The 22,660-nt window shown below is 46.8% G+C and overlaps 1 protein-coding gene across 7 annotated transcripts in view, besides 1 other annotated feature; it reads right to left on the bottom strand.

The window, feature by feature from the left end:
• Positions 1 to 22,660, bottom strand: part of RNF144A (ring finger protein 144A) — a 158,956-nt gene that overhangs the window by 43,765 nt on the left and 92,531 nt on the right. For all 7 annotated transcript variants that reach the window (NM_001349185.2, NM_001349181.2, NM_014746.6 and 4 more), the window contains 5 exons: positions 18,045 to 18,149; positions 17,831 to 17,891; positions 11,923 to 12,130; positions 8,087 to 8,234; positions 2,388 to 2,477 (listed from right to left, as the gene is read on the bottom strand). In NM_001349185.2, the coding sequence (NP_001336114.1) occupies positions 2,388 to 2,477; positions 8,087 to 8,234; positions 11,923 to 12,130; positions 17,831 to 17,891; positions 18,045 to 18,149 (612 nt within the window). The remainder of the gene's footprint in view (positions 1 to 2,387; positions 2,478 to 8,086; positions 8,235 to 11,922; positions 12,131 to 17,830; positions 17,892 to 18,044; positions 18,150 to 22,660) is intronic.
• Positions 14,936 to 15,435: an enhancer, noted in NCBI's record as "H3K27ac hESC enhancer chr2:7157299-7157798 (GRCh37/hg19 assembly coordinates)". NCBI's record gives its function as "activates a minimal SCP1, AML or CMV promoter by ChIP-STARR-seq in primed H9 embryonic stem cells {active_cell/tissue: H9 hESC(primed)}" and the evidence as "EXISTENCE:reporter gene assay evidence [ECO:0000049][PMID:30033119]".

Here is a 22,660-nt window from a genome sequence, read left to right as displayed (position 1 = left end):
TGACGCATCGATCTGTCCAGGAATGCCGCAGATGGCTGGCGAACCACAGAAGCTGGACAAGGCCGGAGGGACTCTCCTACAGGTTTCAGAGCAGGCAGGGCCCTGCTGACACCTCGATTTCAGAATTCTGAGCTCCAGGACTGAGCCAATACATTTCTGCTGTTCTGAGCCACCCAGTCTGCAGCGCTTTGTCACAGCAGCCAGAGCAGAGCTGCAAGGGGCGCGGATTCGAGCAGAGCTGCAAGGGGCGCGGATTCCAGCAGAGCTGCAAGGGGCGCGGATTCCAGCAGAGCTGCAAGGGGCGCGGATTCCAGCAGAGCTGCAAGGGGCGCGGATTCCAGCAGAGCTGCAAGGGGCGCGGATTCCAGCAGAGCTGCAAGGGGCGCGGATTCCAGCAGAGCTGCAAGGGGCGTGGATTCAAGCCGTGCCGGGCCACGTGCAAAGAGAACAGTCAGAGGAGCTCAAACCAACTCTCTAGACCAGAGGGCAGTACGCCATGGCCCGGGGGCCAAATCTGCCTTCATCATCTGTTCTGTTTTGTTTATCCATACAGCTTTATTGGGACATAATTCCTGTGCCACGCAATTCAGATCAAGTACACACATTCAATGGTTTCCAGTGTGTTCACAGAGTTACGCAACCATCACCACAGTCACTTCCACCTGCCTGTGTAAACAGTTTCACTGGAACACGGCCAAGGTAACTCACTGACGTACCGTTGGCAGCTTCTGTGCCGCCAGGTGGAGTTGACAGGTGCAGCAGAGGCCTACGGCCTGCGAGGCCAAGAATGCTCAGCATCTGCTCTCTGATGGGAGGCGTGTCTTATCGCCTGCTGTGGACGCCCACAGGCTCTGCCACGTGGTCGGCATTTAAGATTGTCCAGGAAGTGCAGCTGTAGGTGGACCTTTCCCTCGTCCTGGCAACTGCCTTGAGACTGAGTTTCTCCATCTTTTAGATGAGGCTGACACATGTGCCTCAGAGGCTCTCCTGAAGGAGTCACAGACTTGAGCCCTTCACGCCTCTCGAGGAGCAGGCAGGGAGCAGCAGCCAATGTGCCTCCTGCCACTAATCCCTCAGCAGCTTCCCACTCACCCAGCACAAGATCCAGGGTTGCTCTGTGGACTGCCAGGCCCTAAAAGGGTCTGTCCCTGCCATCATCTCTGACCATCTCCCCATCACGTCACCTCTAGCTGATTTATTAGGTTCTGTGTCCTTGCTGCTTTATCATCTCTGTCCCTAAACAGAACGTAGTTCCGTAGAAGGACACATCTGTCTCACGCACCACTGTATCTCCAGCTCCTACAGCAGTACCCAGCACACGGTAGGCTATAAATATGTGTTGAAAGCACAAGTTAATATTAACCAACACGAGGGTCCTTTATCAACTCCAAAGACTGCACAGGCATTAACACCTAGGGCCAGGGTCCCCAACACCTGGGCCATGGACGGGTAGCGGTCTGTAGCCTGTTAGGAACCAGGGTGCACGGCAGGAGTGAGTGGTGGGGGTGGGGGAAGCAAACGAGCAAACCTTCATCTGTATTTACAGCTGCTCCCCATTGCTCACGTTACCGCCTGAGCCCCACCTCCTGTCAGATCAGCAGCGACATTAGACTCTCGTAGGAGCACGAACCCTGTTGTGAACTGCGCATGCGAGGGATCTGGGTTGCAGCCTCCTTATATGAGAATCTAAATGCCTGATGATCTATCACAGTCTCCCATCACCCTCAGATGGGACCATCTAGTTGCAGGAAAACAAGCTCAGGGCTCCCACTGATTCTACATGATAGTGAGTTGTACAACTATTTCACTATATATTACAATGTAATCATGACATAAAGTGCACAATAAATGCAATATGCTGAATCATCCCAAATCCATCCCCCTGCCCAGTCTGTGGAAAAACTGCCTTCCACGAAGTGAGTCCCTGGTGCCAAAAAGGTTGGGGACCACTGACCTCGGAATTTTTCCACTCCTTCCTTGTTATCCATTCCTGTTACTACCTTGCTTATCTCAGGGCCTCAAGAGAAAGCTCTTTGTTAAGGGCTAGGCAAGGATTACCTAAACACGGTCAGCAGGTCATGACCAAGGCCATGAGTCCCGTGCAAGTGATCTGAAGTCTGATGCTGAAGACCCATCAGACAATGAATGTGATGCGCGTTGACATTAACTTTGGGCCAGGGCTTCCATAAGGATAAGCCTATACCAGCAAAAACCAGCAGGAAGCACATCTACTAGCTCTTTCTATCCAGGAGATCTTCGTCCTTTAGGCAAGTCTGGAAACACTAAAGATATACATACACACACACACACACACACACACACACACACACACACACACACACACAGTCTCTCTCTGAGATCAACCTTCCAGGCAAATCACCTCCTACCTGTGTCCGATGCCAGATCACAGATGCCCGGGAGTGGCCCAGCTTGTTCCGGCAGGGTCCCTTATCGTAGTGTATCAGAAGGAAATCATCCTGTGAGGGGCAGAGACAGAGACGGCATGAACGAGTGGTTCCTGCTCAGTTCGGTGAGTATCACAGCCATTGATGCATTTCTTCTCCTATGCTCATGATAAGTGGAGACATGAGGGAGGTGACACAGGGAAGGGCACGCATCCGGGAACACCTGGCCACAGCCACTGGAGGCCCAGGCCGCTCCTCCCCAGGGCCTCCCTTCATCACCTAGCAGCCCTGGACAGCACAGCCTCGGGCTCTAGAGGGAGCTTTGGACCAGACTTCAGGCCCAGCCCAAAGAAGGACCTCCCCTGCACAGTGGCTGGCTTCTGAGCTTGTGGGAAAGAAGGGATCTCATGGGGACAAAGGGCTACTGAACACGCAGGTCACTGCTGCTCCAAAGAGCTCCTGCTGGCTCCGGCTGTGTGTGACTCCACCAGAGTCCCTCTGCCCTGGCATCTTCCTGGTGCAGTGACAGGGCTATTCCTGGGATTGGATGATTTTCTTTGTTGCTGATCCATCCCCCTCCATCAGGTCGGGCTTCTCACCTAGAAAGCGCTTCCTCTCCACTCAGGCCACTTGATTTTCCTCATGATTCAAGATCCAGCCCGGGGAGCACTTTCTGTCTGCATCTTCTCAGACCATCCTGAGTGGGCAGCAGTTCTCTGCACTCCAGGAACACCTGTGGACGCCTCCCTCCAGGCGTTCTCCACCCCACCTCCATTTCCTGGAGCTGGGACCCTCACACATGTTGGTCTCTCTAAGTGTGTTCCCCAGCTCAGTGCTTGGCACCCAGATCTCAATGACTACCCACTGGCGTGAGGGGAATGGCATTTCTATACCGAGCCCTCTATGCCTCCAGGACCAGGAGGCACCGTTTTCAATCCTGATCAATGAAGGAAATGACGAGGCACATGGTGCCACGGAGGGGCAAGCCTGTTGATTCATTTAAAGGAGGCTGTAAACAGACAGCTGCTTTTTCAGAAAAGAACAAACAAACACAGGGCCCAATGCGCCTGAGGAAACAGGAAGTCACTCTTCCGAAAACCAGGAGGAGCAGGTCAGGGGTCATGGCCTTCTGTTCCTTTCAATCAACTCTGGTAAGACAGTTTGGGGGCTGCAGCCGGACTTCCTCTCCTTGTGGGGAGGACACCAGCCTTGAGTTTCCTGATTTTTGGGGTCAAGCCTCCTGGTGTCTGAATGCACAGTGAATGGAGGGCCATCAAATCCTGGCTGTTACAGGTGCAGTAGCAAGAGGCTTTGGCTGGGGGCTGGGGTCCCAGCTACCACTGTCTGCCTCGCTTCTGTGCCCAGATGCCCCATCTGTGAGAGGAAAGGGAGGAGCAGGCAAACACAAAGCCACTTCTGGCCACACCTTTCTCTTCTACAAAGCTATTTCTGTCCACTTCCATCACTGTGAGCTCTCTCCTCCTTGAACTCTTAACCAAAATTTCCTTTGCGCTGACATTAATTTACACACCACTGAGAAGAGCTCATTCTCCATTTGTATGTCTCCATTTTCCAGACTGCCTCTCACAATGTCTTGCACTGCAGGCTCTTTAAACGTTTTTGAATTTGTTTTCTGAAACGCAAACCAAATCCTGTGTACTACCCAGTTGAGAAGTGGTTACTGACCTCTGCGAGCAGACATGGACAAGCCTGGCTGCACATCCGAGCCACCTGGACAGCTTTTGGAAGCTGAAGATACTGACTCCGAGGTCTGAGGCAGGGCCCAGTCCTCAGGCTCCCTAAGTGATTCTGATCCATCCTATCCTTGGGAAGCACAGGCCTCTGCTGGGGGCCAGGCCCCTGATCTGGTACACAGGGGCCGTCGTCTGGGCCTCACCTTGTCTTTCCAGCATCTCTGGCCAGGCCACGTATGAGTTCACATCCTCTTTCATCGTGCCCAGGTCTTTGGTAGTAACCTGGCTCAGCACATTCTGTCCTCTCTGGTGAACAAACTCACTCAGCCTTCAAGTCCTCAGCTACCCACTGGCCCCCAGAGCCAGTAACCTCCTGACTCCTCCTTGGGGCCGCCAGGGACTTTACACCCTTAGCCATGCAGCCTCCTTCATAGCAATGTGTCCGGATCGTGCCTTATGGGGCTCGTCAGGGAGATGACAAGCTCCTCAAGGTCAAGAACTTCACCCTCCCACCCCGCCCCCCACCCTCATCTCACCAGACCCGCATGGGGTCCAACGGAGCGGAGTGGCTGACACACAGCCAGATTTCATGTACAAAATTAATGTTTATTTAAAAAGCACTTTTCTTATCCCCTGATAAAAGCACTCAAATATGGTTTCACAATATAGAAATGATTGACTTATGATTTTTAGTTTATTGATGATGCCCTGAGGCATAACAATCCCAGGAGCTGCAGGAACACAGATCTATTTCTGTGATAGGGAATACTTTCCTCCTATTGTTCAGAAAAGTTCCATTGAACTCCGGGGTGGGATGAAACAATGGTGCAAGCTCCGGGAAGCCGCAATCAGGGAGAGGGCTGGTGAAAGAGCCAATGCCCCAGGGCAATTCTAGCACCTTCAGCTTTAAAATGTCCACTGGAACTCTGCCTTGACACAGCCTGATCTAACACAAAGATGTGGTTTTTAGAGTTTGACAGATCAGGGACTGATGGCTGATTCCCTTCCTCACTAGTTTGAGAAAGATAAACCTCTCTGGCCTTCCTCATTCCAACTCACAGAAATACTGTGCGTTAAGGGAAGCAGGTATCCAGAGCAAACTGTATAATGCTGATCTGGAACAATTACCTCGATAAACATTAACTATCTACTGCCAAAAAATACGTAAAAGAAAGAAACTGCACATGTCCCTTTTTACAGTAAATAGCAAATGTTGGGCCAGCACTGATAGCTGAGAAGCAGTGAGGATTCAAGGGGAGATGCGCTTGGCCAGGTGCAGATGAGGAGAGGGAAGCAGGGGAGGAGAGGCAGTAAGGACCACGATGGGGAGGAGGCGGTCTGAAATATTCATAACTCCTGGATGTCTGCATGTGCCAGAAAGCACGCTTGGGGGAAACAGGAGAGAAAAGCTCCGTGGCAAGCCCTCCTCTCTCCTCTGAGTGCTCTTGGCTGGATTCAGGCCGTGCATTTATGTGCTTGTCGTAAATCACTGTTAATGTCTTTGGTAAAGGGCTCCAACAGTAGACTCCCTCTCCTTCACATCCGCTTCCTCTGGCCACAGGGTCATTTTTCTTCATGTACAAAGAAAACACAGGAAACTCTGCACGGCCATGAGGATGATGTCTCTGATGGAGGAAAAGTGCGGCCTGGTTCCTCTCCATTAGCAAGGGGCGGAACCTGCTTTAGGGTGGAGCTGGACAGGGAGGGCCTTCCTCAGGGACTAGAGCAGACAAGACACACTTCTGTGCTGGAAGGAGAAAAACAGCAGCTTCCCTCCTAGTCCCTGTCACTTGGTCCAAGCAGCCTGGGGAAACCAAACTTCTGTCAGTCCATTTCTAATGCAGCCTCCAAATGATCCGCACGGGGCTCTGTGACAAGGTGTAGGAAAACTGACTTTTCACTTTCTTCCTTCTTTATGGAAAGTTACAAAGAGTAATAAATTGCAGGCCAGATATTAGATATTATATCATAATTCAATGATCAGTTTTCAAAAAAAAAAAAAACTGGAATACAGTAAAATACAAAAATAAATAAATAAGACCTTGAAGGCCCTAAAAAACTTGGTAAGACTTCAGATGCCACTCCACAAATCCCCTTGAGGACTTGAGCTAAAGAAAATTCATCTTGCCATGCTGATTCATTAAACTTGCCTAGGAAGTAAAAATGAAGCCTCAGGATAGAAGATGGTGACATTTTACCCAGATGTTGTCAGCTGCATCACGTTCTACTATTAATTTAGTAATTTAAAGTTCATAAAGAGACAACAGGCCTTTCAAAGGAATAATTCCAAAAGAAGCAATCTAATTTTTAAAGGTAGCCTTTATATTCCAGACCGTTACCATATGTAATAGTCCATCTCAAAGAGACACTCATTTTCTTCTAGACAAATCTCTCAGCCTGTGCTTCATTCCACTTTGCCCATTGGTCTGAACCACTTCTCCTTCACCTTGGAGGCCTGAGGTGACCCATCTCAGCCATTGTGTGCCAAGCTGAACTGCTCTGAGATAGCCCCATGGTATGAATGGTTGCCCAGAAACACTCATAAGAAAGAACAGTCTCTGGACAGATGAATGCTAACATGGGAAGCATGGACTTGCTCTGACTGTCCGCCCTGCCCCACCCCCCGCTTTATTTGAATGAGACCTGAATGGCTTAATACTATTATTGGATGGACTGGATACATTCATCCTTGCTGTGCAGAACAGACATAAATATATCCCTTCATGAAACACGACTTGATTTGCTTGGACTGTCCTAGCTACAATGGTTCCAACAGATAAATAGGCCTGCTATTTAATTATAGTTTTATTTATTTATTTATTTTTATTTTTTGAGATGGAGTCTCACTCTGTTGCCGAGGCTGGAGTGCAGTGGTGCCATCTCAGCTCACTGCAACCTGCGCCTCCCAGGTTCAAGCAATTCTTGTGCCTCAGTCTCCCATGTAGCTGGGACTACAGGTGCATGCCACCATGACTGGATAATTTGTATTTTTAGTAGAGACAGGGTTTCACCATGTTGCCCAGGCTGGTCTTGAACTCCTGACCGCAGGTAATCTGACCACCTCGGCCTCCCAAAGTGCTGGGAATATAGGCGTGAGCCACCGAGGCTGGCCTAATTATAGTTCTTAAAAAAGTATGCATCAATAAATTATTCTAAAACTAAAATCATAGCTTCATCATTTTGGCAAGATGCCCACGCCCTAATATGGGCAAGGAAGGAGAATGAGAAGCTAAATAGCAGCAACCTGTGCATCAGGCCTCAAAGCTCCAGAGACGTGTGGGCCTGGGAGATTGTGCCCTCCCGTCAGGGACATGGCTCTTGCAGGCACACACGGTAGGGTGTGTTTGAGAAACACTGAAGCAGAGCATACTTAGGAGAAGGCTGCCGTATGAGACCAGAACTTCCATTCTGCCAGAGAGCAAAGGGCTTGCACGTTTTCCCGCCCTGTAGATGATGTGAGTGTCAATGAAGTCTTAAGACTGGCCCCAAGCCCAACAGCCCCCCAGCCCCCACTTCTGTCTGTCCTCACTATCCTGAACACCAGGAAGGAGTCCTGATCAGGAACCCCGGAGCCAAATCTGGTGTACCCTGATTTTGGATTTCCAGCCCCCAGAACCATGAGGAATAAATGTCTGTCATTTAACCTGCCTCATCTATGATATTATGTCACAGCAGCCCAAACTGACAATGACAGTCCCCGCTTAGACAAAACCTAAGATGCTAAAACCCCTTTAAATCCCAGGCTGGATCCTGAACCTGCATGAAGTGTTTAGACCCCAGGACTATACGAGTCACAAAGGCTTCTGTCCCCATGGCGCTCATGAGTTAATGTTTTCACAAACCCAGGAGAAACACCAAACGGTGTTGCTTCACTGTTACACAGGAGTAGGCACCAAGCTCTTTAGGAAACAGCTGGTCTATTTTTCTCATTCCAAATCTAAACCTCAAAGCTAAATGCCGCAAGGTGAAGCTGAAGGCCGTACTCACGTCCAGAGACTCCAGGCAGTACCAGCAGAAGGCGTGCTTGCAGTTCTTGCACATCATCTGCGCGCAGCCTTCGTCTCGCTCGATGTAGACTTTGCACTTGGGGCAGCGCTTGATGGGCGCGTCATCTTCTTCCATTTTGAAAGCAGCACTGTGGGAGAAACGCCGTGAGGACTCTGCACAAACGGATCCCACGGGAGACCCAGGAGCACTGGCTATGCTGGAAGCATCGGCTCCACTTCACAGACTGAGTTTTCTTGGTATTAAATGAAAAAACAAAACAAAAACCAAAAAACAAAGAAACAGAAACTCCAGAAAAAAAAAATTAACCAGAACACTGTGAATCAGCCACTTTGAGTTAGGAAAAATTTTTAAAAAATTACAGCAACATCAACACATATCTAAATTTAGAGATATATGTATACAAACAAAAGAAAATACAGCGAAAGGCTTATTATAACGGAGGTATCTGAATCATAGTGTTAAGGTCAAATATTGTATCCTTATTCACAGAGCTGTCTACTTTCCAAAGGGTTGATATAAATTTTATGTACTTTGCTGTTATAAGAAAAATAAATAAATGTTGCAAATACACACACACAAACACACACTGTTTACTTGAGATAGATCCACCTGGCTCTTCTTACAGAATTGTTTTCCTCAGAAGTTGGCTAGGTCTGCAGGGTTAGCAAGAAGGGCTTTAAGCTGAGGTCAGAGCTGGGTCTGCTACAAACCAGCTGTGGAGCAACCCTCCAAGCCCTAGTTTTCTCATCAGTGTGACCATGAGAAAAGATTCCGTGTGCCAAGAGCACAGCGCAGGGTGCAGCTTTTATGAAGTGCTTGATAAAGGGTAGCAGTAGTTCAATGTTGCTAAAGAAAGATAACACAGACATTAGGTATGACTCACCCCATGCTGTTAATTTTTAAAAGATGGGTAAGAATATTCAGAAAAGCATCTGAAGGAATAAATGATAAACTGTTAAGAGGAGTTATCACTGATTATGGGGGTCCATTTGCTATATTGTTGGAACTCACTATATCAAACAAACATCAGCAGGAGAAAATGCATCCCTCCTTCTCGGGGCAGCTTTTTCAGAATTTAACACATGTATGGGTATATATTCACGGCAGTTGAGCAAATTCTGGCTTTTTGAGTGCATTCTGGCTGAAGGATCTCTCACAAGCTTCCAGTCAATATGAGCATTAAATGTAGTTTCACTTTAGTAGGAGCTGTCTGATGATTGGCAGTGAACAATCCTCCACTTGGGGTGCACATTCCAACTGAACGTGACTGTTTGGTCCATTAGTAGAAGGCAACAGAGTAAGAAATAATGAGAGAAGCAGTATGTCCTCCTAATTAGGAGCACAGAGTCTTGAGACAGACAGATCCTAGCTGTGCGATTTATGTGTTACGTGTCTCATCTGCAAACCAGATGAATAAGGCTAATAGCATCGATCTCTACAGACGGTTGTGAGGATTACAGAGGTTGCACATGTTAACATGTTAAGCACAAAATCCAGCACATAAGTACCAGGCACTCAATAAACAGTAGTTATTATTAACAACTGTTACTGAAAGATAACACAACTGTCACTAGCTCAAATGCTTCCAATTTAAAAGCAAACTGCAGACCAACCTGGTCATGCAGAATGTGATAAAGAATGAACTAAGGTTGTTGCAAGGAGCAAACGAGATAGCATATGTGCAAATGTCTCCAGAGGGATCCAGCACAGAGCCAGCTCCGAGTAAACCTTAGGCCTGGCCTCCTTCTGAGAATGACTTTGATTTTGCAAAAAGCTGGAAGTCATGAGACACCGGATCTGGTGATCAAGGTTGGGTTTTAGGTTAGATAACATTGTTTTGGTTTGAAAGCCAGGTGTGACCTTAAAGCTAAGAAACCAATTTTCTCATGTGACTCACAAGCTGATTTTGGAAGAAACGGCAGGAACAGCGTGTACAGTGTCTCCTGGGGAGACATTTCAAAATGAAAACCGTTAAAATATGAAAGTTCTGGTGTACTGTGCTATGCATAAAATTTTGCATGGAATAGACAATGGTTTTCAAATATTTCTTAGTATCTGAATTGGATTTAAAATTATTACTAACAACATTTACTGTAAACTCAAATTATAAAAGCAGAGAGGAGTTTGGACAGTTTAATCACAATCTACACGTGGCCCAGCAGCTTGAAGAGGTGCGCAGGTGATGCTAATGAGTGAAGTGGTCAGGGGCTGGATAAAAACATGGTTGAGGAGAAGATTTAACCAAAAACAACAACAACAACAAACCCTCCAATACAAAAAATAGCTTAGTGTCTTCTCAGTTATAAATGGCAGCTGACAGGCAGCCTCAGTTCCAGGGGACAAGGAGTAGTGAGGACTGTGGGGCTTTGGCCCAGGAGGCGCCTCCAGCAAGAGCTGGGGCTCTGCTACGCTGGCTGCCAGCATGGGGAGGCAGCCTCGGAGAGGCTTAGGATTCGGATTTCCCAGAGAAGCCAGAAATTCCAGTTTTTATGTGACATCTTCTGATTTAAAAATTTCCACAAAATGAGATTTCTGAATTTTGATTTAGATCATCTTTGGACAATAATTTAAATGAGACTAGAATGTCACAGATAAAGAAAACTAAGTCATCAGGCTCCAAACACTCACCAGCCTCCATCTAAAGTTTTGAAGCCCCTAAGATGCCAAGTACACGTGAAGTATAAGTACAAGTGGTTCGTGCTTGCAGCTGCCTGCCTGATGCAGGCTGCTCAGAAAGGCCCAGGCCCTGTGTGTCAGGAGCTCATCCTGATGGCAGAATCGGCCTTGTCAACGCAAGAACTCAAATCCAATATGTCCAGGGTTGTAATCAATGCAGAGAATCTCAGGGGGAACACAGAGGGTGGAGGCCCCAACCCTGTCCTCGGAACCATGAAGCTTGACAAAGGGATGTGATCCCCACCTGAAGTGTGGCAGGAGCCCCCAGGGAAAGGAGGAGGGCAGAGCAGGGCACTCCAGACACGGGAAGAGAGGTTCGCCCGGAAGGAGACCAGGGGTGTGTGGCAGGGACCCTGAGAGGGTCGGGGGCTAGAACAGGGCACAGGGGTCACACGGAAAGGAACAGGAGCTGGGGACGGTGGAATGGGAAAAGGGGCGCACAGGGAGCAGCTGGTGAGCACACCCTGGGGAGGGTGGTGGGTAGAGTGGCAGCTCCTCTATGAGGATCCTGGACTCAACAGGAGCAGGGGCAAGTGTCCAGCAGAACCACGTGACCTTGTAGATTTTGTAGGAGAAAAAGACCTGGATATGATGAATTTCCTATGCATCAACCTACGAAATGTCAAAGTACAGAGCGTGGTGCGGCAGCATTCTCCTGGGCAAACAGCCCGACTATGGCTGCAGGGGAGGCCGCCACCAGGGAGTGTCTCCCCATCCCCCTCCAGACAGTATTTATGACCAGTGCACCCTACTCCTGTTCTTGTTTCTGTACCCCCATTTCAGATCACCTTCAACACAGTGAAGTCTTGCAGAAACTTCAGGTACTGCAGGACTTGCAACCTTTAAAAGTAACAAACCACGCATGCATTTGTCATTCCAGCCAAGCCGTGTTAAGTGTGGTTCTCACACACCTTTCTATTTCCAGGGCCTCACACAGTGCCTGGTACATAGTCAGTTCTCAAAAATAAATAGACATACAAATAATGACAGGCTTGAGTGAGGCTCAAGAGGTACAGTGTGTGTTAGGGTTGACTGAGCCACAGCCACTTACACTGTAACAGCACTTTTAGGAAGAAAGCATGCCTGCTTCTCCTGGCCCACAGCCATGCCTTTGGTGGCAGCTTGTGTACAAAGGGTACCTGGTCTCCCCGGGGAGGAAGGTGATCGGCATGGTCTCCGGGCAGCCCTGGCCAGGGTGCCAGCTGGCTTTGCAGGTGGAGCAGAATTCCATACGGCAGGCTTTGCACTGCACTGGCTGGGGGGTCTGCAGCCCCACGTCCTGGAGCTGACACACAGCTTGGCAGGTGGACGCCGGGCACCAAGTCCGACAGGGATCAAACAGCACCTCTGGTACAGTGAGACAAAATGGACAAATCAAACTTAAGCCAGAGGGTCATGTGGGCTTCAGAGGAAGGAGCCCCTCAGTGCACGGACAGGGAGGAACATGTCCAGGTAATACAGCCAGCACCACCAGCCCCAACCGAAGCACCGCCCAAGCCACCCTTCCACCTCCACCTCCGCTGTAGCTCTTCCCAACTTCTCCCTTCATGCAACAGACCTCCAGACACCCAGACATCCCTCAGGAATGCTGCTCCTGCCCCTGGAATGCCCTTGGAGCCCTGGGTCAGCCCTGCTTGCCTCTGACACTCAGCTCACAGCTCAAAGGCCTCCACATCCTGGAAAGCTTGGCCCACCTGCCTGTCGGGTTTCTCTGAGCAATGCACATGGCGCTAGCTCATCTGCCTCCCCTAGGGGACAGTTTTCTGAAGCTGGACCCCTGATGGCCCCATGTTGGGCATACAGCCAGCACCAGGAAAATGCTGCTAGAAGACCGAGAGGAAGAGGGAAGGAAGATGGCTGGATTGTTCTTCTAACCAAATGGTTCACCTGCCTAAGATGGCCTCCCCTTCTCAAATCCAAGCCACGAGTTAACTACGGAGTGAAACCAATCCTTCAAGGGCCAGATTTTCTCTCCAAATCACAGCACACATTTCTAAGAAGCCCAATTTAATGGAATTAGCCACAAAGTTTATTTCTAAAAACAAGACACTTTGACACATCTATTTCTTCACATCCTTGTCCAAAAATTGCATTTCTTTAAATTATTGGCTGCCCTTTGTAGGAAGACTGGTTGTTCATTTCATCTTCCCTCTTGTCCAGCATGATGCCGAATTCTCGATCAGTGGCCACCCCAGGGAGCAGCAAGGCTCTGCCAGAAAGCTCTCCCAGGCCAGTGCAATGTGGGCTATTTCCAAAGGCGTTCTGGTAGGCCACTGGTTTCTAAGTTTTCAGCGGGGCTCTTCTTGGGAAGTAGTCAGGACAACTGAGTTTCAGAGACGACTTGAAAGGCGATGACAAGTCCTTGCAAATGTCTGGGCCCTGTGACTGGCCGCCGGGCAGCTCCCGCTCGCCTGTGTCACACATGGGATTCCTACTCACTGGAATCCACAACATGCTGGCGCCGCACGTGGACCGGGACTTCACCTACACGCATTGCCACGGGACCAGCAGGAAGTTAATGACAAATCACCCACTGGGTGTCCTGACGGTGCACACGCATACGTATGTGTAAGGCTCTGTGTGTTTACCATGTTCCCCAAATACATGGGGAAGCCAGATTCAGCTCTCCAGAAACCATCTTGTGTAGGGTCTAGCTTTGAAATGATCTAGTCATCTAATCCAGGGGCTGGCAAACTTCCTCTGCAGAGGGTCGGATAGTCATCATCTAAGTCTGAGGACCATGTTGTTTCTGGGTTTCTGTCGCAGCTACTGGGCTTTGCTGTTGCATAAAAGCAGACACAGTGATCTGGAAATGAATGTTCTAGCAAAACTTGACAGCAGCAGGCCACCGGCGGGACTGGATTTGGCCCACTAGCCATGGCTGGCTGACCCTTGATCTCATCTGGCTGCCCTCTGCCTTTTTTTTTTTAAGCATGAATTAATCAACAGCACAAAACTGTCAGAATGTTAGGGGTGGCAGAAGATTAAGAAGAACTTGATAATAACAAGGAACGCTGGAGGTCAGGAACAGGTGCTCTACTCTAATTATCTTCATTATAATAATCTAAAATCCCCAGGATGCTCCTCATACTGAATGAATGGACAAAATTAGCTCTTCTCTTATTTGTTGATAGTTTCCACATTTGCTTTTCTAAGAATGTTCCTAGCTGTCAGGTCTGACAAAATGGCTTTTTGAGAAAACGCAGTTGTTGTCTGTGGGTCACATGTGTGGGGGCAGATGCCTGGGGCTCCCCTGAGCTGACAGTCACAGCAAAGCAAGGAGGGGGTGCACATGCCAGCCTGGGGCACTGAGCGCCACGCTGAGCAGTGAGGAGGAAACGCCAAAGGCTAAAGGCAGCTGGCCTGGGTCATGCTCCCATCCCGTCCCCGCGATGCCTCCGACAACTCTCTGCCTGCCCTCTGTGAGTGCTGTGGGGTGAGCCCAGCTTTGTCCCTGATGAGATAGGAGGCCCATGTCTGCCCAGCCCTGCGGGAGGGTGCAAGTGCTGTGTGCACTAAACAACACGCTGCGCGGGAAGAGAAATCCTCACCCGCTCTTTGCTCTCCTCCCGATATAGCTCTGAGGCTAGATCCAGAAGGGCAGCGCTGCCTGCTAGGGACCCTTCCGTCTCACTGCTGTCCCCACCTCTCCTGTGCAGTAGGAGCTTCTGACATCAGCAAGGAGCAGACATCCCAAAGCTGGGTCTCGGTCTCTTCATGCACGTGATTTGTCATGCACCACCTCCTGTCCACCCTCCTGGCTCAACAGTGGGGGATGCTATTAAGCATCCCCATCACAAAAGGCCCCCCAGGATAGCACACAGGGGAGACCTGGCTAAGGTTTCCATGGGAACGATTTAAATCTTATTAGTTTTGTCCTCATATAGCTGTGACACGGCACTGCCTGTCCTCACATGGAGAGATTCCCTATCGAAAAGGTCAGGGACAAACGGCCGCTCTGACTGCAGACTGCAAATGTCCTTCCTGTGCTGCCGGGGCATGTCACACCCTGTGAACATGGCCCCAGGCTGAGGCGTAGATGTCTATTAACATTCTGCATTATCCTCCCCAATCTACACACGTGTGTGTATGAGACATATTTTCAAACAAAGCAAATGATATGCTTTTTGGCACACTAGAGGAAACTAATGTTAACTCTTCTCTCCCAGAGGCGTATTCATGGCAGATTAATGAAGCAGGTCTCTTAAGAACTCCCTGCTTAAAAATGCATAAAACTTTTTAAAAAGGTGGCTTTCCTTTTAAAACAGTTTCCTTTCAGAAGTACATGACAGAGAACGATGCACCCAGCATCCCCTCTCATCCCTGCACTTACTACCCTGCCCGGCGGGCTGGTGCCTGGTGCAGGGCTGGGATGGTGGGTTTGATCCTGCTGTGAGATGGCAACATTTTCAGGAGTCGGCTCTAGTCAGGCCTGATTACAGGTGGATAACCCATCGTATTATTTAATCTCTCTGAGCTTTACTTTAAAAAAAAAAAACAAAGAACAAAAAAAAAAACAATACACGGTTGACATCTGACATCAGCATTCACTTGGCCAGGCACTGGGCTGGCATGGGACGAAGGCATGAGGACCCACAGTCCTGTCTCTGGGAGGGCTGAGCCTCCAGATAGAGGCAGGTGCACAGCAACGCCCTTAGCACAGCACCGCTGGGTCTCAGAGGGCCACGGGCGTCGAGTGTAGCATGAGAGAGGGGTCCACGCAGCAAGAGGCATCCACACCCCCTCGCTCAAGAATCTGTCCCTACCCAGACTCTGGAGTGAGCCAGTTGTGAGGAGGTGTTCAGAATGAAAACTCAGCTTCCTGGCCCCCTTCCCTGGCTTCCTGCTTGCCCCAGAGCTCCAGAAGGGGAAGACATTGACGCTAAAACCAAGGCTGTTATATCAGAGGAGACATTCTAAGACTAAGTGCAGACAGTGTGCGCAACATGACCTAACCATAGAACTTTCTGGTAACTCAATGTTTTCAGAAAATCATTGAACTGTCTCAGTTTTCTTCCAGGGCGTCCTCTACTTGACTAGATTTTAGAGCCATAGAGACAGTCAAAATTTGCTTTCTGATCTTGTCTCCAAACTCTTTCAAGGTGCTGGCTATAATCCATAACTATATTTTAGCTCTGACATTCTAACGTTTTATCTAGACAGGTCTTTTATAGTATGAAGTCTGAATACTTAAAAAAAAAAAAACTTTGAACATAATGTTAGTAAAATGCTTTAAAGGGAGAGGCTTGAGAGATTTTTTTTTTTTAACAGAAGCCAAGTTGGCTTCATGTTTATGCAAAAGGAAAAAAGATTTTCTGACTAAGCCAAAGTACTAAAGAAATAACAGTTAAAATTATTAGGTTGAAAAATGTACCCAGCTGCATTTTTAAATTAAATTCAATGTCATAGAAAGTTCATATTCTTGTAACGCAAACAACAGCCAGTTTCTGTCAAGATTCTCTCTGGAAAATATTCTCAGAAGAGCCTGAAAGTCTCAGAAGTCTAAATTAATCAATTTTATTGCCCTACGTACTGACTTTTGTACCAAATGGCATTATATTAAAGCTATAAACTGCCCCAAAGCAAATGATATACGACACTTTAATAAACACACTCTTGAAAACAAATGTCAATGCCATGAAAAATGCTGTTTGAGTTTTTTTTTAAGTGGGCTACATATTTTTTTCTTTTTCTTTCTTTTTTTTTTTTTTTTTTAGAGACGGGGTCTCAATATGTTGCCCAGGCTGGACTTGAACTCCTGAGTAGTTGAGACTATAGGTACATGCCACTGGGCCCAGCTATCTCTAGCATTTCTTTTAGAAAGCAAAAATATACAAACAACAGGTCTCTGCATGCAGCTAAACTGGGAGTCTCTGGATATTGTCCTCTGGTCTCCTCTGCCGTCCACTCCCCATCCGGCCATGTTTTCATGTAAGCCCACCCTCCAGGGCTGTGTCTCAGTGGTGAGACCCTGCTCAGGTCAAGAACCCGAGAATCAGTGCAGGGAGAGGGAGAGCAGATGCCAGCAATCCAAACTCAGAATCCGCCTGCAAGGTCCACACAATGATGTTCTGCATATGGAGTGTCGCCTGCACACATCTGTCACTCTGCTCTTTACCAGACAAGCCTGGGGCCCAGAATAGATATGAAAACAAAGCCAAAGAGAGTCCACAGACTCTTTACAGTTTCATTGTATGACCCCGGAGTATTTCAGAGAGCAGAGCTAAAGACCTCTCCTGGACATTCCACATGGCTTAATGCTTTGCAATATTATCCTGAGAATCATGTTCTGCTCTGTGTGCACCTGCCACACTGCTCTCCCAGAGGACCCCTGGGTCTGCATCAGGCCTGCTCCAGCCAGAAGGACTATTCAGGGCCCAGTGGAGGGCTCACGATGAAGGGTCATGGGATGTGGTCCCAAAGCACCCACTATATTTAGAAATCAGGGCAAGTCAGTTAGCCTCTCTGGGGATCCGTTTATTAGATAATGACAAATTAGCTTTGCAGAGTTGTTGTGACACTTACTGGGATAAGGGACTTGATTATTCATTCACCACCTACTATCTAGGTCTGTGTCCAGTGGTGAGTAAGCGCAGACAGGACACCTACCATCGGACTGTTGTTAGGACGGGGGTTACTGTAATTTCTGCTATGCCTACCCTCACGACTTCCCTCCATGACTCTGCATCTTTTAACTTCTGGGCCAGTCCAAGAGTTTAGCCCTCAAACTCAGCCTTAAGCTGGCTGAAATATAATACCTCAAGAGAGCCATCAACTTTAAGCCTCCCCCAGGAGCCTCAATCCTTATAAACAAATTGTGTTCCATAAATTCTTCCTGCTACCAAATAGATCACTAGACAAGGTCTTCAAACTGTGAGCTGTTCAGAGAATCCAGAATGTCAGTTTAATTTCAGAAGTTTATTTTACATCAACTTTTTAACTCCTATCAAATGCTGTATAACCATATCTACCAAAAGAACTCCCCACAAAATTATCCACATTCACACATTACAGGAATCATAACCGGCAGATATACCAGGCACCTACCTCTTTCAAATTGTAGCTTTTTATATCTTTGCATAATTTCAGCTGCAACCATGCACTCAATCTAAGGGAAAAAAAAATGCAAACAGGAATGATAACAAGCTGAGGGCTAGAATATAATGCAACGCACACCCAAACAAAACCCACGTTATTCTGACAAGTTCAGCAGTGCACGCCTGTGCACATCAAACAGCCCAGTCTGTTCAATTGCACATGCCTCGTTCTCCTGTAGGTGGCCCTGTTTAGGGCAGGCAGCATCTGGGCAGCTAATTGCGGTTTCTAATCCTTCTTTGATCAAGAGCTCAACATACTGTTTCAGGCACTGAAAGAAAAACAGAGAAGTGTCTATAAACATCTTTACCTCCTTAATGCTGAAGAAACCATGATGCATTAAAAAAAGGACCAGGCACATCATTCCATTACAGTTTAATATTTTCACTGTGTAGTCCACAGCAACCAACACATTTGAGGTTTTGAGGTTTTATTCATTCAACAACTATTTATGGGGTACCCATTCTGTGCCAGGGACTGTATGCTCAATCACAAAGCTAAGGCTATGGGTTAGATCCCGGCACAAAACCTCAGCAAACACAAGAGCCAAGAATTCTAAAAGCAAGATGAAAGGCAGCAAGGGAGGCTGGGAGGTAATATTTCTCAAATGCCTATAAGATGCAGGCACTGCATTAAATATTTTATCTCTCAGTCTTTCACTGAAGCCTTAGAGCATTTTTACAAGAAAGGTATGACTGTTCCATTTTTCATATGTGAAAACTGAGTCAGCAAAGGAGGAAGTTGCCAACTTACACAAATAGTACCCAGAGCCTCGATGTGAACCCAAGCTTGCTCAGACAAAATGCCCATGATCTCCCTGCTGAGAACCCAACTGTATTTGGCATTCCTCACTCAGGGTGCCTCACTTACCAGGCAATTACTCACTACCTACCTTACCTACTTGGGGGCACTGCTTAAAGCCTGAAGTAAGCAAAACAAGAAGAAGTGAAGGACATGAAGTAGAGTTAATATAAAAGATTCTGTGGTCTTCACTCCTGCTTTACAAAGTCTACTAGTCTTAGAAATCTAGTGTTTCCCTGAAAAGCATATTATAAACAGCAATGAGAAGAAACAATACGGCCTTTGCCAGCTAGGCTCACTACCAAGAGAAACTAGATGTAGAGCTTATATAAGAACTCAAAGAGCATAGAAAATGATGTAAAATCCTACAACGGCATCCCCAAATCAACTTTAATCACAGTCCCAGTATATTTAAAGTTCATATTAGCAACAATATATAATATTACAATACCATTATTAAAATATAATAGCAATTAATCAAGAAAAATTAATAAGCTATGTTTGCTGAGCTGACATCTCCCCGCAAAAACGTATAATCCATTTTATTACAAGAATGCATGATTATTACTAATGAATGGGTCTAAATGGAAATTCAACTGCAATTCCTTCTACCTCCATGTTTAGAACAAGCCTATTAATCTCTCTCTACCATCCTTATTTTCCTGATCTGCAATTTAGGGTGGTTTAACCTACCTCACAGTGGAGTTGTAAGAATATTAGGCAAGTGAAAAAGTATAGAAGAATACACAGAGAAGAGTATATGCTTGATATATAAAGAATAATTTGATCTAAACTGGTAATTCTCCCCATCCTAGCAAAATAGAATATTTCATTCATTGAAGACTCCAGATTGCAATTTCTTTAAAAAACAAAAATCAAGGCAATCCTCAGAAAGAGCCACTTCCCAAAGCTTTTCTCAAGAGCTGTAACTTCAAGTACAAATTACAATGTTGGTGGCTCCACACTGAACCCTGTGTTCCAGCCTGTGTTCTTTTGATCTGCCTGGGCTCTGATGATTGCAGTGGCCCTAAACTTAGGTTTTCACAGATCATCTACATTTTACCAACCTATGGTTTATGAAGACATTTCCCAGAGTAGTGAGTATGGACGACCCCAGGCTTGGAGTTCTACGTGAGACTCCAGATGGCAGAATTTTCAGAGATAAATTCATTAAAACCAATGCAAAGACTTCTTTCAGAACAAGGGAGAGGCAGATGATGAGCAAGAGAGGAGTCACACCCAGCCTCCAGCAGGGCTGCAGCCTGGTTCTGGGAACCATCCGCAGACGTGTTAAGTGGCAGTGGCGCTGCGGACTACTAGAGTGGTGAACCATTGTAACAATGAGCAGAACAGTTGGCAGATCAGTGGAACTTTCTGTTTATGATTGGGTGCCACATGACAAGGGAGAAAGATTGTAGGCTTCAGAGCCAGACAGGCTCAACCAATCCTTGTCCCTCAAGTCAGAGTTTGAGCAACAGCTCCCTTGACAATAAAACCAGAATGCCCATCTCCCTGCACTTGACAATAAAACCAGAAGGCCCATCTCCCTGCACTTGACAATAAAACCAGAAGGCCCATCTTCCTGCGCTGTTGTGACAGTAATCTATGAAAGCACCTGGCATAATTCCTGGTAGACAGCACCAGCTAAGTAAATAGTGGCTGTTGTCTCTTTTTTGTCTACTTACGTGATTTGTCTCTTACAGTTATAGGTATTTAAAAATCCCAAAACCTTAGCAACAAGATCATTATTTTACTTTCTATTATGAAGTTTGTCTAAATGGGGTCTCTGGAGGATACTGGAGTGCGTTAAACCAATATACGATGCTGAAGACTCTCAGGATATTGTGCGGATCAGTATATAATGATAAAACATGACGCATCCTAAGAAGCAAAATACAACAATTAAAAGTGGCATGAAGCGTACACCCATATGCAACAAGTAGTGAGTCATGTCTGGGTTTCAAAGCTACCCAAGAGTGAACATCATGTGTCATCAGGATGCAGCTATCTGTACAATCTGCAAAAGGATTATGTTCTGGGAATATCAATTTGTTCACTACATAAAGAGAGATGACGTTCCAAGCGCCTGACCTTGCATCCATCAAAAACAAGCCCAGCTTTCTTCCAGATATAAAGTGGGTCATGACTCACAAGCTATGGTTTTCATTCTAATTGCAAAAAGATGTCTTGAAATGAGCACAAAAATAGGTAAACAGAGAAACTTCTGTAAAATACACAGCCTAAAAGCAGATACTGACACATTTTCCTACTACTGCACTCATTATAGATAGCAGTAGACAAATGCTTTCTAAGTCCTAGATTCTACGTGAATTGCATTACCTATGTTAGCTCAGTAAACATGCACAAAAGTCATATGGCGTGTTACCATGCTCACATGACAGATGAGAAAACCAAGGCTCAGAGACATCAACAACAGCTCAATAGAAGCACTAGGGCTCAAACCCACATGTGGCTGATTCCAAGGCTGGTGAGGTTTTATGTTTGTCTGTTGTACATTTTTTGTATACTTACTCCTCAATTGAAAACTTTTACATGAGCCAGTTTAGAGATATAACATACAACATGAGGACTAACTTTAATACAATTGTATCATATCAGGGATTGTTAGTAAGTGAGTAGACTTTAGGTGCCCATCACCGTAAAAAGCAACTATGTGAGATGATGAATACGCTGAGCTGCTTCACTATATGACCATTTTATTATCTATATGTATCCCATAATACTATGTTATAAACCTCAAATATATACAATAAAATTTATTGTTTTTAAAAGAACACTTTCAAAATCAATCATTCAATACATATTTTCTGTTTACCTCATAAACTTTTTCTGTAGAACAAGGAATTGTATGTACTTTAAAGGGGCATAGTGTCAGTCAACCCCGAGAACCTCTCCTTTGTATGTTCATGTTCATGCTGCTGCAAATGCAATGATCCATTTGCAATGCTGCAAATGCTATTGAGACCCGCACAGCCCAGTGTAGGGGAAAGAGGCATGCACAGATCATCATCACAATGCACTGTGCTCCGTGCTCTCATGGGGCCACTTCAAGGGGGCAGGGAGGCTCTAATGGGCCACTACAGGGGTAGAGAGGAGGGGTCCCACCTGGGTGGGATCAGGGAAGGCTTCCCAGAGATGAAAAGTTGGCCAGAGGGTCAAAGGCATTGCAGGAAAAAAGGCATCAGCCACACAGAGGGAAGAAAGGGGGGTAAGCCACAGAATGTTCCAGGAATTTCATTTTCCACTTTGGTTTCCAACTCTTTGAAACCTGATGACGAGACAGCACTGCTGATTTGCTAATATACCTCCGGTGCGTCAGAAGTTTCCTGCCAAGGAGAAGTGGCCACAGAGAAATATCTGCCTCGCCTAAAACTACAGCGAGTCTGATTTTTGTCTGCTTTTTCACACGAAGGCCTGCTGGCTACTGATGATCCTAAAAGCAGGAGAAAATGCCCAGAAACTGTGCTCAAAGGTGCTTATCTGGGATCCACGATTTATTAACACAAACATTACACGCAGGCAGGTCCAAATTGAAGCAGCAAAAGCCCCATGAACAGTGGTTGGGAGCAAAGACCCTGGAATCACACACAAGGCTGCCTTGAAATTGTAGCTCACCCACTTAGCAGACATGTGGCTCTAGCATGGACCTTTCTCTCCCAGTGCCTCCACTTCCTAATACTGTGGGATAAGCTTGGCAGATAGAGGGACAATCACTCCACAGCTCCAGTACCCCGGAGACAGCGGTGCTCCGGAATATTGCTTACACGCTCCGCAAGGGTTTCTCTCAGCCTTTCTAGAGCCATCAATAATCCATGGTCTGTTTATGTTTCTCCTCTAGTAGATGGTGAATTCTTTGAAAACAAGAACTATTAATTATTTATCTTTCTATTCCCCATACCTAACAGAGTGCTGGCAAATAGCAAGGGATGAATCAAAGCCTTGCAGATAGAGGGTGAATGG

This window comes from Homo sapiens, chromosome 2, assembly GCF_000001405.40.
Source record: "Homo sapiens chromosome 2, GRCh38.p14 Primary Assembly".
NCBI lineage: Eukaryota > Metazoa > Chordata > Mammalia > Primates > Hominidae > Homo > Homo sapiens.
The sequence above is the reverse complement of the archived record's forward strand: the minus strand, read 5'-3'. Positions and strand labels throughout refer to the sequence as shown.